This window comes from Homo sapiens, chromosome 13 (genome assembly GCF_000001405.40).
Source record: "Homo sapiens chromosome 13, GRCh38.p14 Primary Assembly".
NCBI classification, from domain to species: domain Eukaryota; kingdom Metazoa; phylum Chordata; class Mammalia; order Primates; family Hominidae; genus Homo; species Homo sapiens.
Genome location: NC_000013.11, coordinates 75,707,025 through 75,723,899, shown reverse-complemented (window position 1 = coordinate 75,723,899; position 16,875 = coordinate 75,707,025). Strand labels below are relative to the sequence as shown.

Here is a 16,875-nt window from a genome sequence, read left to right as displayed (position 1 = left end):
TTGAACTTCCCAGCCTCCAGAACTGTGATAAATCAATTTCTATTGTTTATAAACTACCTAATTTATGGTATCTTGATATAGCAGCAGCCCAAACAGACTAAGACATCTCTCAAGTTGCCTCCTTCCTTTTCTTCTCACTCCCCTCCCTTACTTTCAAATTGTCCGCTCCCTTCAAAGGAGTTGCACAATGACAGATACTAGAGAGCTGGCTCTGTTCAAAAGCCTTGTCAGTGAATATAACCCACTTTAAATATAACTCAATTCAGAAAACTGTATATAAAGCTCAATATAATGTCTGGCTCAGTTATAAAAGCTTTAGTGAGAACAGAATTTGATGCTCTATTTCTAATAGTGTCCAGAAGCTAGTTCTAAATGCCAAATCTCATTTTTCCCTTTATCAGAAAGCTTTTCAGCTGAGGTACAAAATTTATGGACACCTTTTGAGCTCCTATTTCCAAAGATTTTCACAATGAACAAGGAAGATGACATTGAACAACATATCAATACACTGAATGAACTTTTTAACCTGTGATTTATTAGTCATTCACACATGAATATTTCTAATATCTTTCTGTCACATACATTTTCTAAATATACATCCTCACATTATCAAACTTCTATTAGTAACTAAAGTTTTAAAGATATAATAAAGGCATTATATTTTGTTCACAAATTAAAGAGCAATGATGATTTTGGGTTTTTTTTTAATCTTTTATTTTTTTATTTCAGTGGATTTCTGGGGAACAGGTGGTGTTTGGTTAGTTTGGTTACATGAATGAGTTCTTTAGTAGTGATTTCTAAGATTTTGGTGCACTCATCACTTGAGGAGTATCCACTGCACGCAATATGTAGTCTTTTATCCCTCAACACTCCCCACTCTTTCCCCCGAGTCCCCAAAGTCCAATGTATCATTCTTACGCCTTTGCATCCTCATAGCTTAGCTCCCACTTATGAGTGAGAACATATAATATTTGGTTTTTCATTCCTGAGTTACTTCACTTAGAATAATGATCTCCCATTCTGTCCAGGTTGCTGCAAATGCCATTTCGTTCCTTTTTATGGCTGAGTAGTATTCCATGGTATATGCATATATACACCACATTTTCTTTATCCACTCATTGATTGATGGGCATTTGGGCTGGTTCCATATTCTTGCAAGTGCAAATTGCGCTGCTATAAACATGGGTGTGCAAGTATCTTTTTCATATAATGACTTATTTTCCTCTGGTAGATACCTAGTAATGGCAGATCTTTAAGGAATCTCCACACTGTTTTCCACAGTGGCTGTACTAGTTTACATTCCCACCAGCAGTGTAAAACTGTTCCCTTTTCACTGCATCCACACCAACAACTATTTTTTTTTTAATTTTTTGATTATGGTCACTCTTGCAGGAGTGAGGTGGTATTACACTGTGGTTTTGATTTGCATTTCCCTGATTATTAGCGATGCTGTACATTTTTCCATATGCTTTTTGGCCATTTGTATATCTTCTTTTGAGAATTGTCTATTTATGTCCTTAGCCCACTTTTGATGGGATTGTTTTTTTCTTGATTTGTTTGAGTTCCCTGTAGATTACAGATATCAGTCCTTTGTCAGATGTATAGATTGCAAAGATTTTCTCCCACTCTGTGGGTTGTCTGTTTACTCTGCTGATTATTTCTTTTGCTGTGCAGAAGTTTTTTAATTTAATTAAGTCCCATCTATTTATCTTTGTTGGATTTGCTTTTGGGTTCTTGGTCATGAAGTCTTTGCCTAAGCCAATGTCTAGAAGGGCTTTTTCAATGTTATCTTCCAGAATCTTTATGGTCTCAGGTCTTAGATTTAAGTCTTTGATCCATCTTTAGTTGACTTTTGTATAAGGTGAGAGATGAGGATCCAGTTTCATTCTTCTACATGTGGCTTGCCAATTATCCCAACACCATTTGTTGAATAGGGTGTCCTTTCCCCACTTTATGTTTTTGTTTGCTTTGTGGAAGAGCAGTTGGCTGTAAATACTTGGCTTTATTTCTGGGTTCTTTATTCTGTTCTATTGGTCTATGTGCCTATTTTAAACAATGATTTTTGTTTAAACAATGACTTATCAAAATAAGTCATTATATGAAAAAGATACTTGCACACCCATGTTTATAGCAGTGCAATTTGCACTTGCAAGAATGTGGAACCAGCCCAAATGCCCATCAATCAATGAGTGGATAAAGAAAATGTGGTGTATATATGCATATACCATGGAATACTACTCAGCCATAAAAAGGAATGAAATGGCATTTGCAGCAACCTGGACAGAATGGGAGATCATTAATTCTAAGTGAAGTAACTCAGGAATGAAAAACCAATTTTGTTAAACAAAACAATGTTTTGTTTAAAACAAAATTTGCTTACTTTTCCTCTAAACACAAATTCTGCTCATTAAGCATTTTAATGTGTACTAAATATGGCAATGTGCTGGGATCAGCAGCAGAGCAATCAGACGGTCCAGCTACCAGAGGCACAGACAACCCTCTCCCTCTCCAAACAGCATCGCCTAGCACTTAGCAAAAAAAACCTGGCATTTCATAGGTGCTTTACAGATATTTATTAAAATCCACTGCCCAGTTTTTAATGCAGAAATATTTCTGTGAAATATCAAACAAATTCTTCAAAATCTCTATCTTCTTTATAAAGAAATTTTTAAACATTTTACCTCTGCTTTCAAATGCTAGAAATTGCTTTTTGCTCTTACCAACAACACTCCTCCCTAGTATTTTTTTGTTGCCAGAAAAGTCAAACCTTGATATTCTCTACTTATTGTCAATGTTGATCAAAAGAGTAAACTATCAGATACATTAACTTGGACTGGTTATCTTAATTAAGTAAATGCCTTACTAAAATTTTAAATTAATAACTTTTATTTAAATTCATAAGCTGCAATATTTTAAAATAAGTAATCACATGTCCATGAGTAAAATAACCAGTATATATAATTTAAAAGTCTAAAAGCATTCAATATAAATATTTATGATAACTTTAATATTTTCAAAGATTGCTAGTAAAATTGATGTTAATTTCTAGAATTTCTATGGTAGTAATTTTGAATACTGCTGAATTACCTACAACACACAGTAAAAGTTAACAGTAAATGCTAAGATGGGAAAGTGTGTGCAACAGCAACGTCAGTACCAATGTAATTTATAGTCATCACTTTCTTATGATGGAACTTTATTATATAGCCTCACTGTTGTGCTTGAAGCATCCTGAAGTAAGTCTAGCAAAGCTTGAATAGTCTCAGGGCAGATACCTCTTATTCTGAGACCCTCAATAATTATAGCACTAATGGATTTCACTGAGTAGTAGAAAATTTCCCAATGTCACATCAAAGGCAAACGGCATTTAGACACAGACCTTACACCCTTCTCAACAATGAACTCAAAGTGGATCACAGACCTAAATATAAAACCAAAAACTATTAAAACTCCTAGAAGAAAACACAGGGGGAAGTCTAGAGACTTTAGGTTTGACAATGACTTTTTAGACAAGACACAAAAAGCACAATTCGTAAAAGAAATAATTGACACACTGGACTTCATTAAAATTAAAAATATCTGCTTTGTGAAAGACACTGTCAAGGGAATAAAAAGACAAGCCACAGACTGAGAGAAAATATTTGTAAAAGACATATCTGAAAAAGGACTCTTATCTAAAATATACAAGGAACTCTTAAAAAGTCAACAAAAAGAAAATCTGATTAAAAAATGGGCCAAAGACCTTAACAGACACCTCACTAAGGAAGACACACAGATGACAAATAAGGACATGAAAAGATGCTCCACATCATATGTTATCAGGGACATGTAAATTAAAATAATGAGATACCACTACACATTTATTAGAATGGTCAAAATTCAGAACACGGACGACACCAAATGCTGACAACAACGTGGAACAACAAAAACTCTCATTCTCTGCTGGTAGAAATGCAAAATGGTACAGACATTTTGAAAGAGTTTGGCAGTTTCTTACAAAACTAAATATACTCTTACCATATGATCCAGCAATCATGTTCCTTGGTATTTACCAAAAGGAGCTAAAAATTTACATTTACACAAAAAACTGCACATGGATTGTATTAGTCCATTCTCACACTGCTATTAAGAACTACCTGAGACTAGGTAATTTATGAAGAAAAGAGGTTTAATTAACTCAAAATTCCACAGGCTTAACAGGAGGCATGACTGGGAGGCCTCAGGAAATTTACAATCGTGGCAGAAGGTGAAGGGGAAGCAAGCGGGTCCTACCGTGGCAGAGAAGGACAGACAGCAAGTGAAGGGGGAAGTGCCACACACTTTTAAAACATCAGGTCTCGTGAGAACTCACTCACTATCATGAGAACAGCATGGGGGAAATCCACCCCCATGATCTAATCACCTCCCATCAGGTCCCTCCCCCAACACTGGGAATTACAATTTGACATGAGATTTGGATGGGACACAGGGCCAAACCATATCATGGATGTTCATAGCAGTTTTATTCATAATTGCCATAACTGAGAAGCAACCGAGATGGCCTTCATTTGATGAATGAATAAACAAACTGTGGAACCTCCAGACAGTAGAACGTTATTCAGCACTAAAGAGACACGAACTGGTTGGGTGCAGTGGCTCACGCCTATAATCCCAGCACTTTTGGAGGCCAAGGCGGACAGATCACTTGAGGTCAGGAGTTCGAGACCAGCCTGGCCAACATGGTGAAACCCTGTCTCTACTAAAAATACAAAAATTAGCCAGGCGTGGTGGTGCGTGCCTGTAGTCCCAGCTACTCGAGAGGCTGAGGCAGGAGAATCGCTTGAACCCAGGAGACGGAGGTTGCAGTAAGCCGAGATCGCGCCATTGCACTCCAGCCTGGGGGACAAGAGTGAGACTCCATCTCAAAAAAAAAAAAAAAAGAGAGAGACATGAGCTATCAAACCATAAAAAGACATGGAAGTAAGTGCATATTACTCAGTGAAAGAAGCCAATCTGAAAAGGCTATGCACTGTATGAGTCCAACTATGTGACATTCTGGAAAAGCCAAAATCATAAAGACAGTAAAGATTGGTGGTTTCCAGGGATTAGAGGTAAGGGAGGGATGAATAGGAGGAGCACAGAGGATTTCTACAGCAGTGAAACAATTCTGGATGATACTATAATGATGGGTACATGTCATTACACATTTATCCAAAACCATACAACGTACAACACCAAGAATGAACCCTAATGTAAACCATGGACTCTGGGTGATGATGATGTGTCAATGTAGGTCCATCATTTGTAACCAATGTACCCCTCTGGTGGGGGACGTTGATAATGGGGGAGGCTGTGCATATGTGGGGGCATGGAAAATATGGGATCTTTCTGTACCTTCCCCTCAGTTTTTCTGTGAACCCAAAACTGTTCTTTTAAAAAGTCTTCAAAACAAAAACAACAGAAAGCAAAAGGAATCTAACGGAGGGACCTGGCTTCCTGTACTATTTAACTACGAAGTAATGTTACTAAATTCCTCTCGATCCCTCAGGTAAATAAGAGTGATATATCAGTCTCTCTCCAGGATTTCAACCCTCAACTTTAAGGCCACAATATTAAAAACCTTCTGCAAAACTTGAAATGAGTCTTTAGAGTGTCTCTACCATAACTGAAGTGAATTTTTAAGTTCATGTTTGCCAAGCTGACTTTCAACTTGACATACTCTTTCTTTGAAACAAAAAATCATGTTTTTGCTAGACACAGATATTACATCACAGGTGAAACGAACCATGATGCTTAAAAAGGCATGCAAATGCCAACCATAAAATACTGCCATTAAGTGAAAACAGATTAAAATTTTTACATTCATTTTTATGAACTTGAACCCTTACACCATTGTTTGCCTATTGCTGGGCTATCACATAACATGGAAACTGCAAAGCTTATATTACTTGAAAGTGAAGAAAAACAGTTTTCACTAAATTTCAAAAGGCTGTAAAAACAGATCAGGGTTAATAGTGTTGGCATGCTGGAGCACTGTATGTAAGCAACTGTCCTCCTCAGGAAATTCAAAACCAGAAACACCTCTAAGAAAAAAAGCCTTTCCCACTACATGAAAGCCTCTGGGCTTCCCATGGAGCACTGCATGGAAGCCCCAGGGGGCCTACCCATGTCACCGGCACTCCATGTGTGGGTGGAGATCTCCAACTCCAACAAAAAGATAGAGCTCTCTTGGCAGGAATGACAAGTGACAAAGTTCTCTATCTTACCCCGTGCCTTAAAATGATCATCTGAGTGTCCCAGAGTAAACAGTAGTATTTGTAAAAATAAAAAAATATATATTTTTCTATTGAATATGTATATATATAATCTTTAATAAATTATTACAGTATTTTTAGGCAGATACTGTTGTGGTCACATGGCTGATACAAATAGGAACACCGATAGGGGTGAATATCTTGCTCCTGTCTTTCCAAGATACAAGAAAGGAAAAAGAAGACCTGGTGACAGTGAGAGAAGAGTTGTGTTTTTTTGTTTGTGTGTTTTTTTTTTTTTTTTTTTGAGACGGAGTCTCACTCTGTTGCCCAGGCTGGAGTGCAGTGGTACCATCTCCACTCACTGCAAGCTCCGCCTCCCAGGTTCACGCCATTCTCCTGCCTCAGCCTCCCGAGTAGCTGGGACTACAGGCGCCCGCCACCACACCCGGCTAATTTTTTGTATTTTTAATAGAGACGGGGTTTCGCCATGTTAGCCAGGATGGTCTCGATCTCCTGACCTCATGATCCGCCCGCCTCGGACTCCCAAAGTGCAGGGATTACAGGCGTGAGCCACCGCGCCCGGCCGAGAAGAGTGTTCTTACTGTGAGTCATGTGTTCAAAAAGGCATAAACTTCTGATGCATAGCTGACTGTGGCAGAGACTTGGGATCATTCCAGGGATGGGAGGTACAGACTGACTAACCACTGACACACCCAATCAGACTATCGTCAAGCAAATCTTCTTTCTTCATCAGAGAAAAAAAAAAAAAAAAGAGTGTTTTCATTTGAATATTTCCAAGATTGTCATCATAAGATGAGTAACTGGGAAATTACTGATATCATTAGCTGTTTATGTCTCAACCAAATATGTTTGGAAAGGAGGAATAATTCTGCTAGAACCCAGAGCAAAATAAGATCATGGACACTGATGAAGTGATACATCTTTTATATTTTTTAAATATATATAATAAGGCAGTCCACATGAACACTAAGAAATACTGAAGAAAGAAGACAGATTAATGAACACTATTAATAAAATTCATAGCACATTATAACAAGGAACTAAAATCACCTTATAAAAACTTGTCAATCCTTTTATTAATTAGAAAAGCAAAAATATCAGACAGTGTTCCCATCTCACTGTTTAGTAAAACCAAGAGAGACTACAATCATAGACTTTCATCAAGGGAGTATTCCTTGATGAAATCCCAACTCACTAGATGCCACAGTCAAACTAAACAACACTAAAATGACTAACATGAAGATACTAATTTCAATAGTCAATCAGATTAAAAGGCAATGAACGCATATAACTATCCTCATTACTCAAATGTGTATCTTGTCTGAAACCTCAGTGCATGGTTTATCCCCACTTTAGACTATCTGAAATGTCAGTACACTTCCAATTGGGTGAAAGCTATAAGCTATTCGAACTTTTGACTTTGATATTTCAGAACACCAGTTCAAAAGGAAAGAGTACTACTAATGGATTTTTTTAAAATTGCTGAAATTACTGGATGAAATATTAAGAAAATCTTTAATGGTGGTAATGAATGAGAATGCCTAGAGGTTTCTAATAGGCAACAAGCAGAACCTGTATTTCACAAGAAATATGATTCTGGCAGTGAGCCAGATAGAAGTCAGCCTTTTCCTGTACGAAAATGAATTCAGGTTTTAAAAATATCCTAATCATATTTCACCTAAAACTTGGGATCTCTAGTGGGTAAAATATCCTCAAAGACAGATAGCTTACTATATTTACCACTAATTAAAAAGTCAGGGCTTGTAATACCAGATCTCTGAACAGCTGACTTTGTTTTCCTCTCAGGCATTATATATAACACAGGTGGATGTGGCCACAAACAGCAGTGCCTGCTTAATCATTTCAGAGTGCAACCAGCCAGGCTTTCCTCAGTTACAGGTTTCATACTAAATATGGTTATCTGGGCTTTTTATTCGTTAACACCACAGCTTTTAGATGAATGTGTCGTCATCAAACAGTGACTATGAACAACGTGATTCACAATTTAGAGAAAGATTTTTTAATAAAAATATTATGCAGGACTTTGGTGTCCCACAGTAAATTACAATTGCTGATTACCATGGCTTCAGATTTACTTAAGCTACTTTTGGGAAACATTAATTTAAAGAATACTGGGTACTAAGAGACTGATTAGACTTATGTGGCAATGCACAAAATCCAAATTAGAAAAATTCCAATTAGAAAACAATATTAGAATTAGCTTTGGAAGTCTGAGAATTAAAGTGACTTTTTAAAAAGCCAATATATCTCTAAACATTCATCCAAATGTTTGCTGTTGCCATTAAGGTAGAAATTACATATTTATTCTAACCTGTACTGCTTGTGCTCACAATAGTTTTTCATCAACTCTGAATATCCTCCTTGGTCACACTATGCAGATCTTTTCAGGCTGGGTATAGCTTTTGGAAATCACTTCTCATCATTCAGAGCCCAGGCTGGTGCATAAGTTGCATTTTAAATCAAAACCTGGTAGTCATTCTCAAACATGTTTAATGATCTATTTATGGGGTCAATGCCCCAAAAGTGGGACCCCTAAAATATTATGGGCAATAGTTCATTACTGGAAATATATAACCTACAAAATTACTTCTTTGAAAGATCATATATTCGAGATATATGCTTTTGTAAATCTAAAAAGAAACTCCGTGCTTCATAGGCACACTTCCTTGAAGGCACAAACCTACCCAATTCCTATTTAGACTTGTGGGGTGTATGGTTGATGGCTTTTTTTTTTTACTGCAAACATTTAAATAATAGCTAAAGTAGTTTGCAGGTCACATGCCTCTTTCTAATAGGCAATGTTTCCCCTCCATCTTCTAAACATTACTAGAGTACATTTAAATCATACTGTTTTCAAATTAAGATAAAGTAACTTCCCATTAGTGACCAGTTGGGCTATGTGGTCTACTTAAATTAGCTTAAACACTATTTGACTCATTGTCAAACTAATTGAAACACTATTCACATTCCAATGAATGTGACATTGGAAGACGACAAGAAACACACTTTGAACTTTATTCCTGGCCCTTATTCACATGTGTGTCCTATACATGTCACCTATACGTTAGGTGAAACCACACGAAATTGACACTTCTTTAGGTCACAAATGGTTAAATATCAGCAACTTCATATGGAACAAAATTAATAATATCACCTTAAGACAAAGAACTTTGAACACTTGCCAACAGAGCTGACAAGATAGACTGTTATTTACATGCCCATCATCTAGCAACAACTTGTATATATACAAAGTTTGATCGTTTATAAAAACCTTAAAATATATATTGTTGAACTCAGCAACTCTGTGAATTAGGCACATCAGATACCTTGATCTCTACTTTACCGATGAGAAAATAAGGCTCAAATGTTAAATCACTTGGTCAAATGTTCAAAGATGTGAGGTCACTTATTCAAAGGTCCAAAAATAATGGAGCAAGAAATCTAACCTAGGCCCTTTGACTCCAGACCTTTTGCTGCAAACAACTCCTTCAAAAGGATAATCAAAATCTCTAAGTACTAGTGTATACACTCTCACTGCTTACATGTGGACAGATAGCATAAATACCTGTGCGATAAGTGTCTAGATTGAAATAATTAAGTGCTTTCAAAAATGTGGGTGAGTACTCAAGTACATTCTTAGAATTTATTTGCTCGCTTCTGCAACCTCTACCTTCACCCAGGATTTCATCCTTATGCCTCACAGGCCTGCCTCTCCCTTATTCCCAAAGTTCATATACTTGACTAACTGTACTATGCATCCATTGGGGAACAAAATATTACACTACACATACAATGTAGGCCTTATACTATCAATCATGGTACTAGCCTATCTTACTTCTTTGTAAGCAAAGTCTGGGGTGTGGTTCTCAATGGTGTCTATTAATTGAATGAATGGTCCACAACTCAAATTGATTTTGGTAATGTAATGACTCCACTTAAAGCTTAAAGGAAAAATCTACCACTCCAATCATCATGATTTATTGATGAAGCAAAGATTTTGTGTATTAACTTCCAAACCAGGCAATTCTACCCATTAGAATATTCAGACTAAGAGATCAATGGTAACATGTCATAAGGCTTCCTTCTCAATCACCCACCCCCCACTGGCCCACCATGCAATAGAATCTTTCTTGTTTACTAATTAAAAATAATATATATTTTACCAGTGCTATCTTTAGATACAGAGACTGATAACCCCTTCTTCCTACTGTCTCGTATTGTGAGGTATCAATTTGCAGGGATCAAATCTCACCTGTGACCAAGAACACATATCTGTGACTACGGTGGCCATGGGAGGAGCCAAACACCTCATCACTCACACACACACATATCTTTGCTTTTGAATTATTTTTTAAATACTTTAAATACTTACTCACACAGCAGAACACCATTTTCTAGAGAGGCTCGAAAATCTTTTGTTTCAAAATTCTTCTCTGTTACTGCCTGAAAGATAGGTTTGGTTGTTAATTTTCTCTTAAGCAGGGATAGCACACAAGTCCAATTCAGTATTAGATTAATTAATATGCATTTAATGTTATACTTGAAGGATTTGCATATATAGACTGTTATATCCTATAATCTGTTCCTTATAGGAATATGTACTGTCTGTTTTATATTACAAAGAGATAGTTTAGCCATTTTAGTATGACAAATATATGCAGGAAAAAATTACAATGAGTGTTTTCAGTAATATAATCATTTTATTGGATGATACACAAAAGAGCTAAACTAAATTTTCAACATATTTTATATATTTTTTAAAAACCTATGGGTGATCTATTCTACTAAGAATGAATAAAAACAGTATAAGATAGAAACTCAAGATACCAACGACACTGAATACACTATCATTAATTTCAATTCCATCTTTATATTCCTCAAATTTCATTACAAAGCTAAACAGCAGAGGGCATGACACTTCTTAAACTTATTTATGAAATCGTCCTAATTGATGTAAAGAGCCATTTATTGAAACATCCTGGGGAGAAGACTATTAAATCCTGGCGCAGAGAGACAAAAGAAAGAGAGGTGAGATGGTGAATATTTTAAACAGACAATTCCCAACTTAAGGAATTACAAAGGAACAGGCACATGCAGTTACCACCACCAATAATGTTGGTGAAACCTCTAGAAAAATCTCTAGATTCTCTCTCTGAAGGGGGAGGTGGCTGGGATAGAAAAGGGGATTCCACAGGGGAAATAGTAGCAGAGAAAATGAAGGTCACAGTGGGAAAAAAGCTGCCCTAAGAACAACCCCTGGGACTGAGTCCCAGCTCAAGGGGAGGGCAGGGACCAACAGCAGTGACACCAGCTGTCCTGGAGATGCAGCCACCACGTAAAAACAGGAGTAGTCCCTGCTCCACCTGCCACTTCAGAAAGAAATACATTTCTGATATCCTGAACTGGAAAGTCACCAATCTTAAATCCCAGGTTGGCTCCAGGGCTCAACGAAGGGACCTTTACCACCATCCCCCAGCTATCCTCACTACTGCCAGCTTCACGGTCCCCCTAGAATCCCTATGTATCTTCATTCTGCATCTCTCCACAGTGCCCAACATCGCTGCAGCTAGACATGATATCTGTTAACTGACAAAATAATGGTTGTGTTTCTCAGAGGTTGGTCTATACATTTGGACAGGAGCCTGGGCCAGGAGGCAACATGCTCAAACTCAGGAAGAGGTAGATCCTTCCTATACTTGCCATTAATCTACAGAAGGGCTGCACTGCTGCTTTACTTAAACAAAGGCTGAGTGTCTGTTACAGGCATTACCTGAATGCTGGGTAGGAATTTACCGAAAGAAAAAACACGTTTTGAAGGCAGGCAGCTCTTCCATCAGGGAGCCCACAGCCTCATAAGAAAAATGTAGGGGGTGGAGCCAAGATGGCCAAATAGGAACAGCTCCAGTCTACAGCTCCCAGCGTGAGCGACGCAGAAGACGGGTGATTTCTGCATTTCCGACTGAGGTACTGGCTTCCTCTCACTGGGGAGTGGGTGCAGGACAGGGGGGGTGCAGCGCACCGAGCGTGAGCCGAAGCAGGGCGAGGCATCGTCTCGCCCAGGAAGCACAAGGGGTCCGGGAAATCCCTTTCCTAGTCAAAGACAGGGGTGACAGACGGCATTGAGTCTCTGAATAGACCAATAACAGGCTCTGAAATTGAGGCAATAATTAATAGCTTACCAACCAAAAAAAGTCCAGGACCAGATGGATTCACAGCCAAATACTACCAGAGGTACAAGGAGGAGCTGGTACCATTCCTTCTGAAACTATTCTAATCAATAGAAAAAGAGGGAGTCCTCCCTAACTCATTTTATGAGGCCAGCATCATCCTGATACCAAAGCCTGGCAGAGACACAACCAAAAAAGAGAATTTTAGACCAATATCCCTGATGAACATCAATGCAAAAATCCTCAATAAAATACTGGCAAACCGAATCCAGCAGCACATCAAGAAGCTTATCCACCATGATCAACTGGGCTTCATCCCTGGGATGCAAGGCTGGTTCAACATATGCAAATCAATAAACGTAATACAGCATATAAACAGAACCAATGACAAAAACCATATGATTATCTCAATAGATGCAGAAAAGGCCTTTGACAAAATTCAACAACGCTTCATGCTAAAAACTCTCAATAAATTAGGTATTGATGGGACGTATCTCAAAATAATAAGAGCTATCTATGACAAACCCACAGACAATATCATAATGAATGGGCAAAAACTGGAAGCATTCCCTTTAAAAACTGGCACAAGACTGGGATGCCCTCTCTCACCACTCCTATTCAACATAGTGTTGGAAGTTCTGGCCAGGGCAATCAGGCAGGAAAAGGAAATAAAGGGCATTCAATTAGGAAAAGAGGAAGTCAAATTGTCCCTGTTTGCAGATGACATGATTGTATATCTAGAAAACCCCATCATCTCAGCCCAAAATCTCCTTAAGCTGATAGGCAACTTCAGCAAAGTCTCAGGATACAAAATCAATGTGCAAAAATCACAAGCATTCCTATACACCAATAACAGACAAACAGAGAGCCAAATCATGAGTGAACTCCCATTCACAATTGCTTCAAAGAGAATAAAATACCTAGGAATCCAACTTACAAGGGATGTGAAGGACCTCTTCAAGGAGAACTACAAACCACTGCTCAATGAAATAAAAGAGGATACAAACAAATGGAAGAACATTCCATGCTCATGGATAGAAGAATCAATATCATGAAAATGGCCATACTGCCCAAGGTAATTTATAGATTCAATGCCATCCCCATCAAGCTACCAATGCCTTTCTTCACAGAATTAGAAAAAACTACTTTAAAGTTCATATGGAACCAAAAAAGGGCCTGCATTGCCAAGTCAATCCTAAGCCAAAAGAAAAAAGCTGGAGGTATCACGCTACCTGACCTCAAACTATACTACAAGGCTATAGTAACCAAAACAGCATGGTACTGCTACCAAAACAGAGATATAGACCAATGGAACAGAACAGAGCCCTCAGAAATAATGCCGCATATCTACAACTATCTGATCTTTGACAAACCTGACAAAAACAAGAAATGAGGAAAGGATTCCCTATTTAATAAATGGTGCTGGGAAAACTGGCTAGCCATATGTAGAAAGCTGAAACTGGATCCCTTCCTTACACCTTATACAAAAATTAATTCAAGAAGGATTAAAGACTTAAATGTTAGACCTAAAACCATAAAAACCCTAGAAGAAAACCTAGGCAATACCATTCAGGACATAGGCATCAGCAAGGACTTCATGTCTAAAACACCAAAAGCAATGGCAACAAAAGCCAAAATTAACAAATGGGATCTAATTAAACTAAAGAGCTTCTGCACAGCAAAAGAAACTACCATCAGAGTGAACAGGCAACCTACAGAATGGGAGAAAATTTTGCAACTTACTCATCTGACAAAGGGCTAATATCCAGAATCTACAATGAACTCAAACAAATCTACAAGAAAAAAAACAAACAGCCCCATCAAAAAGTGGGCAAAGGATATGAACAGACACTTCTCAAAAGAAGACATTTATGCAGCCAAAAGACATATGAAAAAATGCTCATCATCACTGGCCATCAGAGAAATGCAAATCAAAACCACAATGAGATACCATCTCACACCAGTTAGAATGGCAATCATTAAAAAGTCAGGAAACAACAGGTGCTGGAGAGGATATGGAGAAATAGGAACACTTTTACACTGGTGGTGGGACTGTAAACTAGTTCAACCATTGTGGAAGTCAGTGTGGTGATTCCTCAGGGATCTTGAAGTAGAAATACCATTTGACCCAGCAATCCCATTACTGGGTATATACCCAAAGGATTATAAATCATGCTGCTATAAAGACACATGCACACGTATGTTTATTGCGGCACTTTTCACAATAACAAAGACTAGGAACCAAGCCAAATGTCCAACAATCATAGACTGGATTAAGAAAGTGTGGCACATATACACCATGGAATACTATGCTGCCATAAAAAATGATGAGTTCATGTCCTTTTTAGGGACATGGATGAAGCTGGAAACCATCATTCTCAGCAAACTATCGCAAGGACAAAAAACCAAACACCGCATGTTCTCACTCATAGGTGGGAACTGAACAATGAGAACACATGGACACAGGAAGGGGAACATCACACACCGGGGCCTGTTGTGGGGTGGGGGGAGCGGGGAGGGATAGCATTAGGAGATATACCTAATGTTAAATGACGAGCTGATGGCTGCAGCACACCAACATTGCACATGTATACATATGTAACTAACCTGCACGTTGTGCACATGTACCCTAAAACTTAAAGTATAATAAATAAATAAATAAAAAAGAAAAATGTAATGTTTAAAGCACAGTTAAACATACCCAAAGAGAATGGCATATTCTTCTGAAAATAACTGAAAGGACCCTGGATTATCCCACCAACCTGTGCAAGAGAAACTCTTTTGAATTTTCCCCAAATTGTTCCAAAACAAACTCAAGGGGAGTGCAGATCTCAACTATAGAAAACGTTGTAACATGTCCTTCATCTGGAAACTCCTACGCATAGCCAAAAAGCATGAAATAGGCCCAGAAACATCCAACGCAGATGCTAAAGCCCATTCTCTCTAGTCATAGCAAAGCCCCTCAGAGCCACTGACACTTATAATCTGGCAATTCCATTCCCAAATCAATATAGATTCAAAGCAGTGATTTACAAGAAAGAAGGGCTGTGTCCTGCAGACACCGGATAGCAGTGAAGAATGACAGTCAACAGCAATGAAAGGGCCAATCAAGAGGGCAGCATGTAGCAAGTGGCAAAATGGAAAGAAAAAGAACTGAAGTCTGACCAAAGCAAGTTCAAATTCCACATTCACTACCTAATAACTGTGTGATCTTAAGCAAGTTACATAACCTCTCTGCACCCCAGTGTGCTCACCTGAAGCAGGGAAAATATCACCTGCTTATTAGTTTGTAGTGGCTGAAATGTGCAATCAAGTTCTTGAGGGTGGTTAAACAGTACATGCCAAACCTCCTTATATGCATCAACCCTGAAGTTACCACTCTGACAATACTCCAACAATTAATCCTCAGAAACACACCTCCGCATCATATAGACATGGCTGAGTTAGTTATATTTAGAATATCCTTTAATAAAGTGGGCAAAATGGAATATTCAAAGCTATTCAGAAAACCCAACTATCCATAATGGTTCATCTCCCCCAAAAAGATGATAGAAAGGCAAGATCATGTGTAGATATATGAGGGGGTCTGAAGACCCCCTCATATATCTAAATATTGATGTACTCTTGTACTTACGTACTTTCCAAAATCTAAATAATGATGATAAAAGACCAAATTCCATTTGTACAGTATTTATATATTTTTTTAAAAAAAGACAATATAAAAACTAAACAAAGGTTTTAAATAATAGCTTATATTTTGAAGACGTGGCAATCTGGCATGCCCTGTACACCACTGAAGGTAATATAAAATGTTACCACAATTCTAGAAGGTAATTTGTGGTATGTATCAGAAGTCTTAAATATGCATATTCTCCTAGGTGCAGGATCTAGGAATTTATACTAGGACAACAGGACAGGCACACAGAACAGAATTGTTTCATGGCGTTCTGTAGAATAAATAGCAACAATTACAAATAACCTGAATGCCCAGCAATAAGAACTTGATTATATTATGATATAGCCATAAAACAGAAAATGACATGAAATTGAAATTCATGTCATAAAAGTGGATTTATTACTTGTAAAGAATATTATTTAAAAAGCAATTTATGAAAAATTGGGAAAGTTTATGAAAAATTGGGAGTATAATCCCAATTTCTATAACTCTATAAGAATGTATCATAAGTAAACATGGAATAAATATACTAACAGTAATTATTCCTAAGTTGTAGAATTACACTTATTTTTAATGTTATCTTTTGTTTATATTCTTTAAAGACTACAGGTGTTTATATATAAATTTATAAATAAATTTATTAATATAAAAGAACAACATTCAGAAGAAGCCAAAACCAATCAGATTTAGGTCAATTTACTAAATCTCCCATACCTAAAGGAACAAAGAATAGAAGAGGCTGACACCAGTTTTTGTC

At 37.5% G+C, this 16,875-nt stretch overlaps 1 protein-coding gene across 29 annotated transcripts in view; it reads right to left on the bottom strand.

The window, feature by feature from the left end:
- The window catches only part of LMO7 (LIM domain 7), a 239,437-nt gene that overhangs the window by 135,971 nt on the left and 86,591 nt on the right, over window positions 1-16,875 (bottom strand). For all 29 annotated transcript variants that reach the window (NM_005358.5, XM_047430323.1, XM_047430329.1 and 26 more), the window contains one exon: window positions 10,648-10,718. In NM_005358.5, coding sequence (NP_005349.3) covers window positions 10,648-10,718 — 71 coding nt within the window. Of the gene's footprint in view, window positions 1-10,647; window positions 10,719-16,875 lie in introns of those variants that run through there.